This window comes from Homo sapiens, chromosome 2 (genome assembly GCF_000001405.40).
Source record: "Homo sapiens chromosome 2, GRCh38.p14 Primary Assembly".
Taxonomy (NCBI): Eukaryota; Metazoa; Chordata; class Mammalia; order Primates; family Hominidae; genus Homo; species Homo sapiens.
Genome location: NC_000002.12, coordinates 27,465,279 through 27,477,818, shown reverse-complemented (window position 1 = coordinate 27,477,818; position 12,540 = coordinate 27,465,279). Strand labels below are relative to the sequence as shown.

Sequence of the window (12,540 nt, the reverse complement as noted above, 5' to 3'; positions counted from 1 at the left end):
TATTTGGACTGTTTTTATGCCATCTCTCAGAAAATCTCTCTGGTTTCTCTCAGGGACCAGAGCAGATTCTGATACAGCACCTCTTTTGTGTAGTGCCAAAGCCTACATAAATATATCTTTCCACTTCCCAACCTGTCATTCTTCATTCTTTCGGCATTATCTTGGGTATTTATCCACATTGCTTCTTAAGTCTTCTCCCGTTACAGATAGCCTGGCAAGGATCTGGTGGCAATGAGAAGTATTTCTTTGAAAATGAGAATGTGAGTAGAGCTTGATTCACCATCACCATCTTGATAAGCCTCCTTCTAGCTTCTGTGTCATAAAGATGGCAAGTTGCAAGGGATAGGGAAACAGCAGATAAAGAAACAGGGAGGATGAAATTGGCAGGGTAAGAGAACAAGGAGAAAAGTGGTAGTCACCTTGAACTGACAGTACACCTCCCACTACTGTTTTTCTTCATGTAGCCTTTCCACCGTATAACAACTCCATTTTTCCCAGGTATGCATGATCTTCAATGCCGGAGAGCTAACCCTGGTGGAATATGGGAATAATGACACCCTGGGTTCTGTACGCACTGAATTCATGAACCCCCACCTCATCAGGTAACCTCACAAGATTCTCTGAATCCCTGAAACCCAGAATAATTCCTTTTGGACTCCTAAATTCTGTGTCCTCCAGTTAATCCAAAAGCTTCAGCCAGGTGTGGTGGCTCATGCCTATAATCCCAGCACTTTGGGAGGAGGAGGCAAGCAGATTACTTGAGTCCAGGAGTTCAAGACCAGCCTGGGCAACATGGTGAAACCCCATCTCTACTAAAAATACAAAAAATTATCCAGGCATGGTGGCACACCCCTGTAGTCCCAGTTACTCAGGAAGGTGAGGTAGGAGAATCACCCGGAGCCTGGGAAGTCAAAGCTGTAGTGAGCCGTGATCACACCACTGCACTTCAGCTTTGGCAACCAGAGTGAGACCCTGTCTCAAAATAAATAAATAAATAAATAAAAGCTTCATCCCATATGGTACTTCAGAGCCTTTAATAAACATCCCAACTACCTCAGCCCATTTTGCCTTACCTCACCCTTCATGTTTCAGTGTTCGTATTAATGAGAGGTGTCAGCGAGGAACAGAAGATAATAAGAAATTGGCTTATCTTATTGATATTAAGACTATTGCTATAGGTGAGTAAGACTCTCTCATAATTTTAATAACAAAATAGATGTTTATATCACACTTCCATACCACAGGATTGCATTCAGTGGGGAATGCAGGAATCTGAGACGCACCAGGTAAATAGTAACTCCACATGTACAGTGGATATATATGAAATGTTTAAGTCAATATGTGTGCATCTGTACCTGGATATCTAGATATAAAAACAAAGGTTCAGTCCAGGCACAGTTACTCATGCTTGTAATCCCAGCACTTTGAAAGGGCAAGGCAGGATCATTTGAGCCCAGTAGTCCAAGGCTGCAGTGAGCTATGTTTGTGCCACTGCACTCCAGCCTAGATGATGGAGTAAGACCCCATCTCTTAAAACAAAAACAAAAACAAAACCCAGAGGTCCATATAATTATTCACGTTCTCTAGACATATATCTTAGGGTTGGCAAATTGTGAGTAGTAGAGAAGGCCCATTAAATTTATGAATTTTCCTGTTTTCACTTCATAGAATCATAGACTGTTAGAACTGGAAGAGGTCTTATTTTTTGTATAGTTTATCATTAGTAACTAATAATGACAGAAATTTTATTTGCATTTCACAAATATTAACATATAAGATTTATAAATCTTATATGTTCATATTTTTATCGTGAAATGTTTCAAGCATAAAAAGTAGTATAGAGAATAGCATTACCTATACAATGTAGCTGTTAAAAATGGGGCTCTGGGCCAGGCACAGTGGCTCACACCTGTAATCCCACCACTTTGGGAGGCTGAGGCGGGCGGATTGCTTGAGCTCAGGAGTTTGAGACCAGCCTAGGCAACATGGTGAGACCCTATCTCTATGAAAAAAGAAATTAATTAAATTTAAAAAAAAAAAAGAATGGGACTCTAGAGTCAAACCATCTCAATTCTCTACCTGTGTGATCTCAGGAAGTTACTTCATCTTTCTATATCTCAATTTCCTCATCTACAAAATAGGGATAAAAATAGTACTTTATATGAAATACACTTATCCCTGGTACATAATAATAAATGTTAGCTATAAATAATGATATTTTTCTTGCTTTGGCAGTACATATATTAAAATTGGAATGATAAAGAGAAGATTAGCATGGCCCCGTGCAAGGATGACACACAAATTTATGAAGCTTTCCACTTTAAACCAATTTTTTAAAAGAAGATATTATCACTTGTTTATCCATACCCAGTTCTGTCAAATCCTGACATTTTGTTATATTTACATTGAATCATTTTATATCCTCCCTCTTATTGATGGGCATTTAAGTTGCTGATTTTTCACTATTACAGTGATTCAGTTAGTTCCATGCCTAGAATGGAACTGCTAAATCATAGAGGAGCTGTGTCTTCAACTTCACTATTTCCAAATTGTTCTCTAAAAAAGTTATACCAATTTCTATTCCCACCAGCAGTTAGAGTTTCTATTGTCTGACATCTTCTGTAATACTTGAAATTGCCTGACTTCATAATTTGGCTTAAACGTGATATATATAAAATTAGATCTCATATTAATTTCATATATAATAATTATTGACCATTTATATTTCTTCTGTGAATTGCTAGTTCCTATCTCTTACCCATTTTTAAAATCAGAGTGTCTCTTCCTCATTGATTTGAAGGAGTTCTTTGCATATGCTTGTATAGACTTTGGTGGTTATTTGCATTGCAGATATTTTTGCCTCAGCCTGTGGCTTGTCTTTTCTCTCCTTTTGGGAGTCTTTTACTGTTCAGACATTTCACTTTAAAATAGTCCATTTTTTTTCACTTAAAAAAAAAAACAGTTTGAGGCCGGGCACAGTGACTTATGCCTGTAATCCCAGCACTTTGGTAGGCCAAGGCAGGCGGATCACCTGAGGTCAGGAGTTCAAGACCAGCCTGGCCAACATGGTGAAACCCCGTCTCTACCAAAAATACAAAAATTAGCCGGGCATGGTGGAGGGCACCTGTAATCCCAGCTACTCGGGAGGCTGAGGCAGGAGAATCACTTGAACCGGGGAGGTGGAGGTTGCAGTGAGCTGAGATTGTGCCACTGCACTCTAACCTGGGCGATAAGAGTGAAACTCCGTCTCCAACAAAAAAAAGAAAAGAAAAAGAAAATAGTTTATGATGCTTTAAGTCTAATTTAAGAAATCCTTTCCTATTCCCTCCTATATTTTAACATTTTTAAATTTTGCTTTTCACCTGGAATTTGTTTTTATGTATAATGTGGGTAGCGATCTAATTTTATTTTTTTCCATATGTTTAACCATTTGTTGAAAGTCCATTCTTCACCCACTAATTTGTAACGCAATCTCTGTCACAAATCAAGTTTCCATATACATGAGTCCATTCTTAAAATAGTTGCACATTTCATGAATATTATATTTCACATTAGGTTTCTGCACTCAGAAATGTAGGTATCTATAATGGAAACAATAATGTAGACCAAGAGGCCTAAGATTCGAGCAGCAAAAATGAGTTGTGAGAACTTGGACAAGCAATTTCACTCTGTAGGTCTCATTTTCAATGTATGTAAAATGACAGAGTTCAAGGCCGGGTACGGTGGCTCATGCCTATAATCCCAATACTTTGAGAGGCCGAGGCGGGCGGATCACCTGAGGTCAGGAGTTCGAGACCAGCCTGACCAACGTGGTGAAACCCCATCTCTACTAAAAATACAAAAATTAGCCGGGCATGGTGGCGGGTGCCTATAATCCCAGCTACTCGGGAGGCTGAGGCAGGAGAATCGCCTGAATCCAGGAGGTGGAGGTTACAGTGAGCCGAGATCGTGCCACTGCACTCCAGCCTGGGTGAGAAGAGTGAAACTCTGTCTCGGGGGAAAAAAAATAAAAATAAAAAAGTTCTTCTCTTAACTTTTTTGGGCTATCAACCCTTTGGAGTATCTAAAATCGTAGACCTTCTCAGAGAAAAATATATACTGTACACACATAATTTTGTGTATAATTTCAGGGTTCTGAGGAGTTAGGGCCGTCGCCACTCTAGAACTCTGATTCTACTTATAATTGGGGCATTAAAATATGGCTTTATCGGCCAGGCGCAGTGGCTCACGCCTGTAATCCCAACACTTTGGGAGGCTGAGACAGGCGGATCACGAGGTCAGGAGATTGAGACCATCCTGGCTAACACGGTGAAACCCTGTCTCTACTAAAAATACAAAAAATTAGCCGGTCGTGGTGGCTGGCGCCTGTAGTCCCAGCTACTCAGGAGGCTGAGGCGGGAGAAAAAAAAAATACGGCTTTATCATTTTCCTTTTTTTTTTTTTTTTTTTGAGACAGAGTCTTGCTCTGTCATCCAGGCTGGAGTGAAGTGGCGCGATCTCAGCTCACTGCAAGCTCTGCCTCCCGGGTTCACGCCATTCTCCCGCCTCAGCCTCCCGAGTAGCTGGGACTACAGGTGCCAGCCACCACGCCCAGCTAATTTTTTTTGTATTTTTAGTAGAGACAGGGTTTCACCATGTTGGCCAGGCTGGTCTCCAACTCCTGACCTCAGGTGATCTGCCCACCTTGGCTTCCCAAAGTGCTGAGATTACAGGCATGAGCCACCATGCCCTGCCGATTTTACTTTTTAATTAAAGGAAGATTGTTTTTTAAATTGGTCTTCACAATTATGGACACCAGTGGACATTTGGTCTTTAGCTTAAGCATATATAACAAAGTGGGGCCCATTGTTCATTAATAATGGATATCACTAAAACTTATAAATAGGCTTTGATCAAGAGACCCCCTGAAACCATCCCAGCCAACCCTAATTGGTCTGCTCTAAATGTGATAGTTTCTGATAATGTCTAGAAGATTCAAACCAAACTAAAATATTCATCCTCTGCAGTGACCAGCCTAACTTTAGTCAGAGGTTTGTCTGTTGCCTTCCCCACCATCCACCCTTGCAGTGCTCTTACACAGTAGGCATTCAAATATACGGGTGACTTCTTAGAGCATATGACCATCAAGGTCATTGATTCATCAGCCTTGTCTCACTGCTGTATTGTATCAGGCTTATCTTTAATGTGCTCAGTGCTGCCTTCGAGGGGATTCTGTGAGTAGGAGAAGCCACTTGCTCAATAGTTCTAGTCTGCTCTGAGGTAACTCCATAAGCCCCAGAGAGTGATGACATTTCTGTGGGTCTGGACCTTTTGAGTTAACAACATAGTTAAACAAAACCTCTACAATTCTAAAAGAGACCTAGCTTCCTAGGCATCCTAGCAAAATTATGTGTGTTGGCCATACTATGTATATGTGTGGAATCTCTCTTCTTAACCCTGTCTCCTTTATTCTATAGTGGATCTGATTGGTGGCTACAACATTGGCACCGTCAGCCATGAGAGCCGTGTGGATTGGCTGGAACTTAATGAGACTGGACACAAGCTCCTCTTCAGGGACCGGAAACTTCGTGTGAGAAGAGCTACTAAGGCCTTAGGCATTGGCTGGCCCACAGAGGGTGTGAGACAAGCTGCCACCAGGGACTGAGGGAGGCAGGATGGAGCACATTGTCTTTGCTGTGTCATCAACATGGCAGAAGGCACAGAAGAATCAACATTCTCTGTAGCTGATACCAAAACTGATAGCAAAACCCATCCTTTATTACCTCTTTTTTTTTTTTTTTGGAGACAGTGTCTCACTCTGTCACCCAGGCTGGAGTGCAGTGGTACAATCTGGGCTCACTGCAACTTCTGCCTCCCGGGTTCAAGTGATTCTCCTGCCTCAGCCTCCCCAGTAGCTGGGACTACAGGCACGTGCCACCACACCTAGATAATTTTTGTATTTTTAGTAGAGATGGGTTTTCACCATGTTGGCCAGGCTGGTCTCGAACTCCTGACCTCCTGGCCTCAGGTGATCTGCCTGCCTCTGCCTCTCAAAGTGCTGGGATTACAGGTGTTGAGCCATGCGCCCAGCAATCCTGTATGACCTCAGAGGTGATTGTATTATGGCAACAAAGTCAAGAAGGGAGTTTGGAAGTTGGTGTCTCTTACTATTCACAGTCTGTGCCCTCAGGAAACTTCCTTAACCCTGCATTCCTCCTCCTCATGCCTAGCTGACCTTCACCTAGACCTGCTGTCCAGTGCTTTTCAGCCACACTTATCTGATAGCATGAACTGGCTGGAGGACAGCCTCTTCGTCCCTCATTGATTCTCATCCCAATATGGTAGCACCAGAGTCTTCAACCTCAGATCAAAGAGACAACCTGATGACTTTTCATTTCAGTGAAAGCCACATCACAAATTTCTGGATAATTTAATTTTTCTAGTGGCCTGCCATTTGTAATCCAAGCTGGTAACTCTGGCCCAGAGTTATTTCAAGAAGGAAAGTCTGACCTTCACCTAACTTAAAATTCCTGGGATGTAGATCTTTGTTCTATGGGTCATCTCTTACTTGACCAGAGTTAGGATATACCAGCTCAGCAGAAAGCAGGTCAGTAAGCTTTGAAATGCAGCATGAACCTGAGTGGTGGGTTAGCTCACCACATCTCACCATTAGGAAAATGGTCAAAAGCAGGAGACAACCCCACATCCCCTTGTAATTGTGTTACCTGCCTTTTCTTTCTTCAGTTGCATCTGTATGATATTGAAAGCTGCTCTAAGACAATGATCCTCAACTTCTGCTCCTATATGCAGTGGGTCCCAGGAAGTGACGTGCTGGTAGCTCAGAACCGAAACAGTCTGTGTGTATGGTACAACATTGAGGCACCTGAGAGAGTCACCATGTTCACTATTAGGGTATGTTGGACACTAGGGGCCCTCAGATGTGGTATTGAGCTGATTAATTAGAGCCATGAGGAGACTCTGAAGGCTACTTGGTTTTCTGTGTCCACCACCCTTAATCTCTGTGATAGAATTGGCAAATAAAGCTTAGACTTATGGACCAGCCCCCAGAACCATCCTTTTTCAGATTCCTGACATTATATTAGACCCTTGGAGTATGGGTTCATTACAGTGGCCCCGGGAAGTCACCAGGTCATAATATGGAGATCCCTGTAGGCTGGAAGATCCCTGATAGGAGAGGCAGTTCTAATGTCATCTCCTTCTATGCTGATTCTCCGTTATAAGCCATTCAAAGTGCCTTTTTTTCTCAAATTACAGATCAGCTCTTCTCTCCTGTCCTACCACAACATCATACATACCCAGTAGTCTTCCAAAATCTGGGAGGAGCCAGAGAAAACGAGAGGCAGGCTCCTGTGCTAGGCTAGGAGTGTGTGTGTATGGGTAGAGCGCTTGATGCTTTCTTTTTGTCCTTTTCCATACCTTTTTAAAATCTCCTTTTTACCTCATTTTAAACTGATTAGGGTCTAAAATTTATTTGTTTAGTTCTTTCTTTCTTTTTCTTTCTCTTTCTCTCCTTCTCTCTTTTACTCTTTCTTCCTCTCTTTTTTTTTTCTCTCTCTCTTTCTCTCTCTTCTTTCTGAGACAGGGTCTCCCACTATCTCCCAGGCTGGAGTGCAGTGATACAGTCATAGCTCATTGCAGCTCAGCCTCCTGGGCTCAGCCAATCCTCCTGCCTCAGCCCCCTGTACAGCTAGGACTACAGGTGCATGCCACCATGTCCAGCTAATTTTGTGTTTAATTTCTTTAAGCACCTTTTTTTTTTCTCCACATTTTGGGTTTGAAAGTTATATGTCCTGTTTCTGTAGAGGTTACCTTGAAAGTTTAACATGTAGTTAAATGAACAAAGTCTAAAGTTAATCAGCATCTAACCACTCCCCTGCAAACAATACAAGACTTTAACTTTCATCTCCTCCCCTTTGTCATTGTTGTCCAGTATTTTAGTTCTAATCTTATTTTGTCTCCAAAGTTAGGCATGATTATTTTATTTTATTTGAGACAGAGTCTCTCTGTCACCCAGGCTGGAGTGCAGTGGCGTCATCTCGGCTCACTGCAACCTCTGTCTCCTGGATTCAAGAGAGTCTCCTGCCTCAGCATCCCAAGTAGCTGGGATTACAGGTACCTGTCACCATGCCCAGCTAATTTTTGTATTTTTAGTAGAGATGAGGTTTCGCCATGTTGGCCAGACTGATCTCGAATTCCTGACCTTAGGTGATCCACCCGCCTTGGCCTCCCAAAGTGCTGGGATTACAGGCATGAGCCACCACGCCCTGCCTGATTATTTTATAAGACAGGATTCATTTAGATTTACCATCAAGGTACCAGTTCCTTTGTTTACCTTTTCTTGCAATGCTAATCTTCCCTCTGGAATGACTTTTCTTCTTCCTGAAGAATATTATTTAGAAGTTTTTTGTTTCTGTTTTTTGTTTTTTGAGACAGGGTCTCACTCTGTTGCCCAGGCTGGCGTACAGTGGCACAATCTTGGCTCATTGCAACCTCCACCTCCCAGGTTCAAGTGATTCTCCCACCTCAGCGTCCTGAGAAGCTGGGATTACAGGCATGTGCCACCATGCCTGGCTAATTTTTGTATTTTTAGTAGAGACGGGTTTCACCATGTTGGCCAGGCTAGTCTCGAACTCTTGACCTCAAGTGATCCGCCTCCGTCAGGCTCCCAAAGTGCTGGGATTACAGACATGAGCCACTGCGCCCAGCCTTATTTAGAAATTTCTTTAGTGAAAGATGATAAATTTTCAGTTTTTCATTATCTGAACATGTTTTTATCTAGCCTTTGTTCTGAAAAGATGCTTGGACTCAGTACCCAGTTCTAGATTGACAGTTAATTTTTCTTAATTTGTAAATGTTGTTTCATTGATTGACTTCCATTGTTGTTCGGAAAAATTTATCATCAGCCATTTCTGTACAGGTGATCTGTCTTTTCTCTTTGGTTTCTCTTTTTTTTTTTCTTTTTTTTTTTTTGAGACGGAGTGTCGCTCTGTTGCCCAGGCTGGAGTGCAGTGGCGTGATCTCAGCTCACTGCAACCTCTGCCTCCTGGGTTCATGCCATTCTCCTGCCTCAGCCTCCCAAGTAGCTAGGACTACAGGCGCCTGCCACCATGCCCGGCTAATTTTTTGTATTTTTAATAGAGATGGGGTTTCACCGTGTTAGCCAGGATGGTCTTGATCTCCTGACCTCGTGATCTGCCCGCCTCAGCATCCCAAAGTGCTGGGATTACAGGCGTTAACCATCGTGCCTGGCCTCTCTTTGGTTTCTTTTAAAGTCTTCTTTTTTAGGACCGGGCACAGTGGCTCACACATATAATTCCAGCACTTTGGGAGGCTGAGACAGGCGGATCACTTGAGGCCAGAAGTTCAAGATCAGCCTGGCTAACATGGCGAAACCGCATCTCTACTAAAAAGAACAAAAATTACCTGGGCATGGTGGCATGCTCCTGTAATCCTACCTTCTCGAGAGGCTGAGGCATGAGAATTGCTTGAACCTGGGAGGCAAAGGTTGCAATGAGCCGAGGTTGTACCACTGCACTCCAGCCTGAACGACAGAGTAAGACTCTGTCTCAGAAACAAACAAACAAAAAAATCTTCTCTTTTTCTTAGGTGTTTTGAAGTTTCACTACAATGTGTCTAGATATAATTTTTTTTTTTTTTTTGAGACAGAGTCTTGCTCTGTCATCCAGGCTGGAGTGCAGTGGCACAATCTTGGTTTACTGCAACCTCTTCCTCCCGGGTTTAAGCAATTCTCCTGCCTCAGCCTCCTAAGTAGCTGGAACTGCAGGCGCATGCCACCACACCCAGCTAATTTTTTGTATTTTTAGTAGAGATGGAGTTTCACCGTGTTGGCCAGGGTGGTCTCAATCTCCTGACCTTGTGATCCGCCAGCCTCAGCCTCCCATAGTGCTGGGATTACAGGCATGAGCCACTGCACCCAGCCATAAATTTTTAAAATTTATCCTGCTTAGTATAGATTGTGTTTCCTGTGTTTATGAATACACATATTTTCATCACTCTTGGAAGTTTCTTAGTTATTATCTCTTTGAACGTTCTTCTCCTCAGCCATTCTCTAGTCTCTTCAGAACTCTAGTTAGGCAAATGTTAGATTTCTTGTTTTACATTTTTAATTTCTCTTTCATAGTTTCTTTCTTCCTGCTCCATGCTTCATTCTGGATAATTTCCTTTTTTTTTTTTTTTTTTTTTTTGGAGACAGGGTCTCATTCTGTTGCGCCATGCTGGAGTGCAGTGGCGTGATCTTGGCTCACTGCAGCCTCAGCCTCCTGGGCTCAAGCTATACTCCTATCTCAGCCTCCTGAGTAGCTGGGACTACAGGCGTATGCCACTACAGGCGTATGCCACCATGCCCTGCTTTTTTTTTTTTTTTTTTTTTTTTTTTTTTTCAATTTTCTGTAAAGACAAGTTCTCACTGTGTTTCCCAGGCTGGTCTCAAACTCCTGGGCTCAAGCAGTCCTCCTGCCTGAGCCTCCCAAAGTGCTGGGATTACAGGCATGAGCCACTGCATCTGGCCTCTGGATAATTTCTGTAGATCTGTTTCGATTCATTAATTTGCTTTTTATCATTGTCTAATCTGCTATTTAAACTGTACATTGAGTTTTTTACTTCAAATATTAAATTTTTCTTTAAGTTTTATTTGATTATTTCTCCAGTCTGCCTGGCCATATTGATAATTTCTTATTCCTTGCTTAATTTTTCATTTCATCTTTTAAGGTATTTAGGTGCTTCATAAATAATCATTTTATATTCCATAACTGGGCTTAAAAACAAAACAAAAACAAAATGAAACAAAAAAACAGGGTCTCACTTTGTCACCCAGGCTGTGAAGTGGCATGATCATGGCTCACTGCATGAGCAAACTCCTGGGCTCAAGTGATCTCTCACCTCAGCCTCCTGAGTAGCTGGGACTACAGGCACATGCAACCACACCCAGATAATTTTTTTTTTTTCTTTCAGTAGAGATGAGGTCTTGCTATGTTGCCCAGGCTGGTCTTGAACTCCTGAGCTCAAGTGCTCCTCCCACCTTGGTCTCGAAAAGTGCTGGGATTACAGGTATGAGCCACCGAGCCCGGCCTTTAACTGTTATTTTTAATATCTGAAATTCTTGAAGATCTAAAACTGTTGTTTGTAGTTATTGTTTACTTTTTCATAGTGGTTGGTTTCCTTGTATTTTTTTCCTTTTTATTGTGAGCTCATGTTGCTTTGAATGTATTTTTTTGGAATCCTGAGGGCTTAAAATGGATATGTTCTCCTCCAGTGATGATTCGGTCTTGCTTCTGCAGGAATCAGGCATATTAATGATCTGTAACCATTTCTTTTGTTCCCTTTACTAAAGAGTGGATCCTAGGTTTAATTAAGGATTTTCAAATTCAGACTCCCCATCCTGCTGGAGGGCCTGAGGTTTATTCTCCTGACACTGCATTTGCTTTCAGGACAACTGTACTTTTCCCATTTGCTCACTTTCTTTTTTTTCTTGCTCAGGATTTAGCTTATTGACCTTTTTCTTTCAGTCTGTCTTTTTCTGAGAGAGAAGGGTAGGATATGGGTAGGGAATATTCTTAGTGATTTCTTCAAGTAAGCCCAAGCAATGCATTAAAAAGTATGTTCCAGGTTCAAGTCATATTTTAATGAGAGATCCCTTAAGAATATCTTACTCTTATGGTACTGCTGGAAGCAGAAGTGAATGCCACACTTTATACCTCCAAGAGTTGGTGCTGTCATAGGAGTATACTTTAACCCAAGGATATTGCTATAAATGAAGTATTTTTTTATGCTTGAGAGAAACTAAAATGTTAGGAAAATCAGGGCCGCTGTGACTCTCTTGACCACTGACTGGGTCGGATGAGGGTGGGTCTTTTCTATAATTGATTCAGTGGAAACTAACCTGAAATTGGGGTGGGTTGGGGGATAAACTTTTACAGGGTGATGTTATAGGTCTGGAGCGGGGCGGGGGAAAGACCGAGGTGATGGTGATGGAAGGTGTGACTACTGTTGCCTACACATTGGATGAGGGCCTCATCGAGTTTGGAACAGCCATTGATGATGGCAACTACATCCGGTGAGAGGCTGGCCAATAACCAGTGAGGTGGTGGGAGAGTCTGGTTCTGAGAGGGGAGGACCTGGGGTGGGGTGTAAAACTGGCCAGCACTAATAAGGATCCAGTGATCCTGGGAGGAGATGAGACAAAGATGGCCCTTCCCCCTCCCCTTGCCCCATCACCAGTCTTCTGCTGTATCTTCCTAACCCATTCCTCATTCATTATGCTTTGCTTCCTTCCCTTTCCAGGGCAACAGCCTTCTTAGAGACTCTGGAAATGACCCCAGAAACAGAGGCAATGTGGAAAACCTTGAGTAAACTGGCACTAGAGGCAAGGCAACTACACATTGCGGAGAGGTGAGGTAGACATGTAGAACAGAGGTGCCACGCAGCTAGGAGGGATAATCACATGAGTATTTTCCCTGTGGGCTACTCCAATCCGGTGTTAAGGTACTCCCTCCCTTCCCACTGCCAGCAAATAGCATAGAG

At 42.5% G+C, this 12,540-nt stretch overlaps 1 protein-coding gene and 1 pseudogene across 11 annotated transcripts in view; both read left to right on the top strand.

Annotated features, from left to right (window-relative positions):
- IFT172 (intraflagellar transport 172) overlaps positions 1 to 12,540 on the top strand; it is a 45,367-nt gene that overhangs the window by 11,925 nt on the left and 20,902 nt on the right. For 6 of the 11 annotated variants that reach the window (XM_006711987.2, NM_015662.3, XM_006711986.4 and 3 more), the window contains 7 exons: positions 207 to 260; positions 499 to 602; positions 1,093 to 1,178; positions 5,457 to 5,569; positions 6,724 to 6,891; positions 11,937 to 12,073; positions 12,301 to 12,408. In XM_006711987.2, the coding sequence (XP_006712050.1) occupies positions 207 to 260; positions 499 to 602; positions 1,093 to 1,178; positions 5,457 to 5,569; positions 6,724 to 6,891; positions 11,937 to 12,073; positions 12,301 to 12,408 (770 nt within the window). Of the gene's footprint in view, positions 1 to 206; positions 261 to 498; positions 603 to 1,092; positions 1,179 to 5,456; positions 5,570 to 6,454; positions 6,587 to 6,723; positions 6,892 to 11,936; positions 12,074 to 12,300; positions 12,409 to 12,540 lie in introns of those variants that run through there. The other 5 variants (XM_047443900.1, NM_001410739.1, XM_047443903.1 and 2 more) reach the window with 3 other exon arrangements.
- Positions 2,224 to 2,325, top strand: RNU6-986P (RNA, U6 small nuclear 986, pseudogene; annotated as a pseudogene).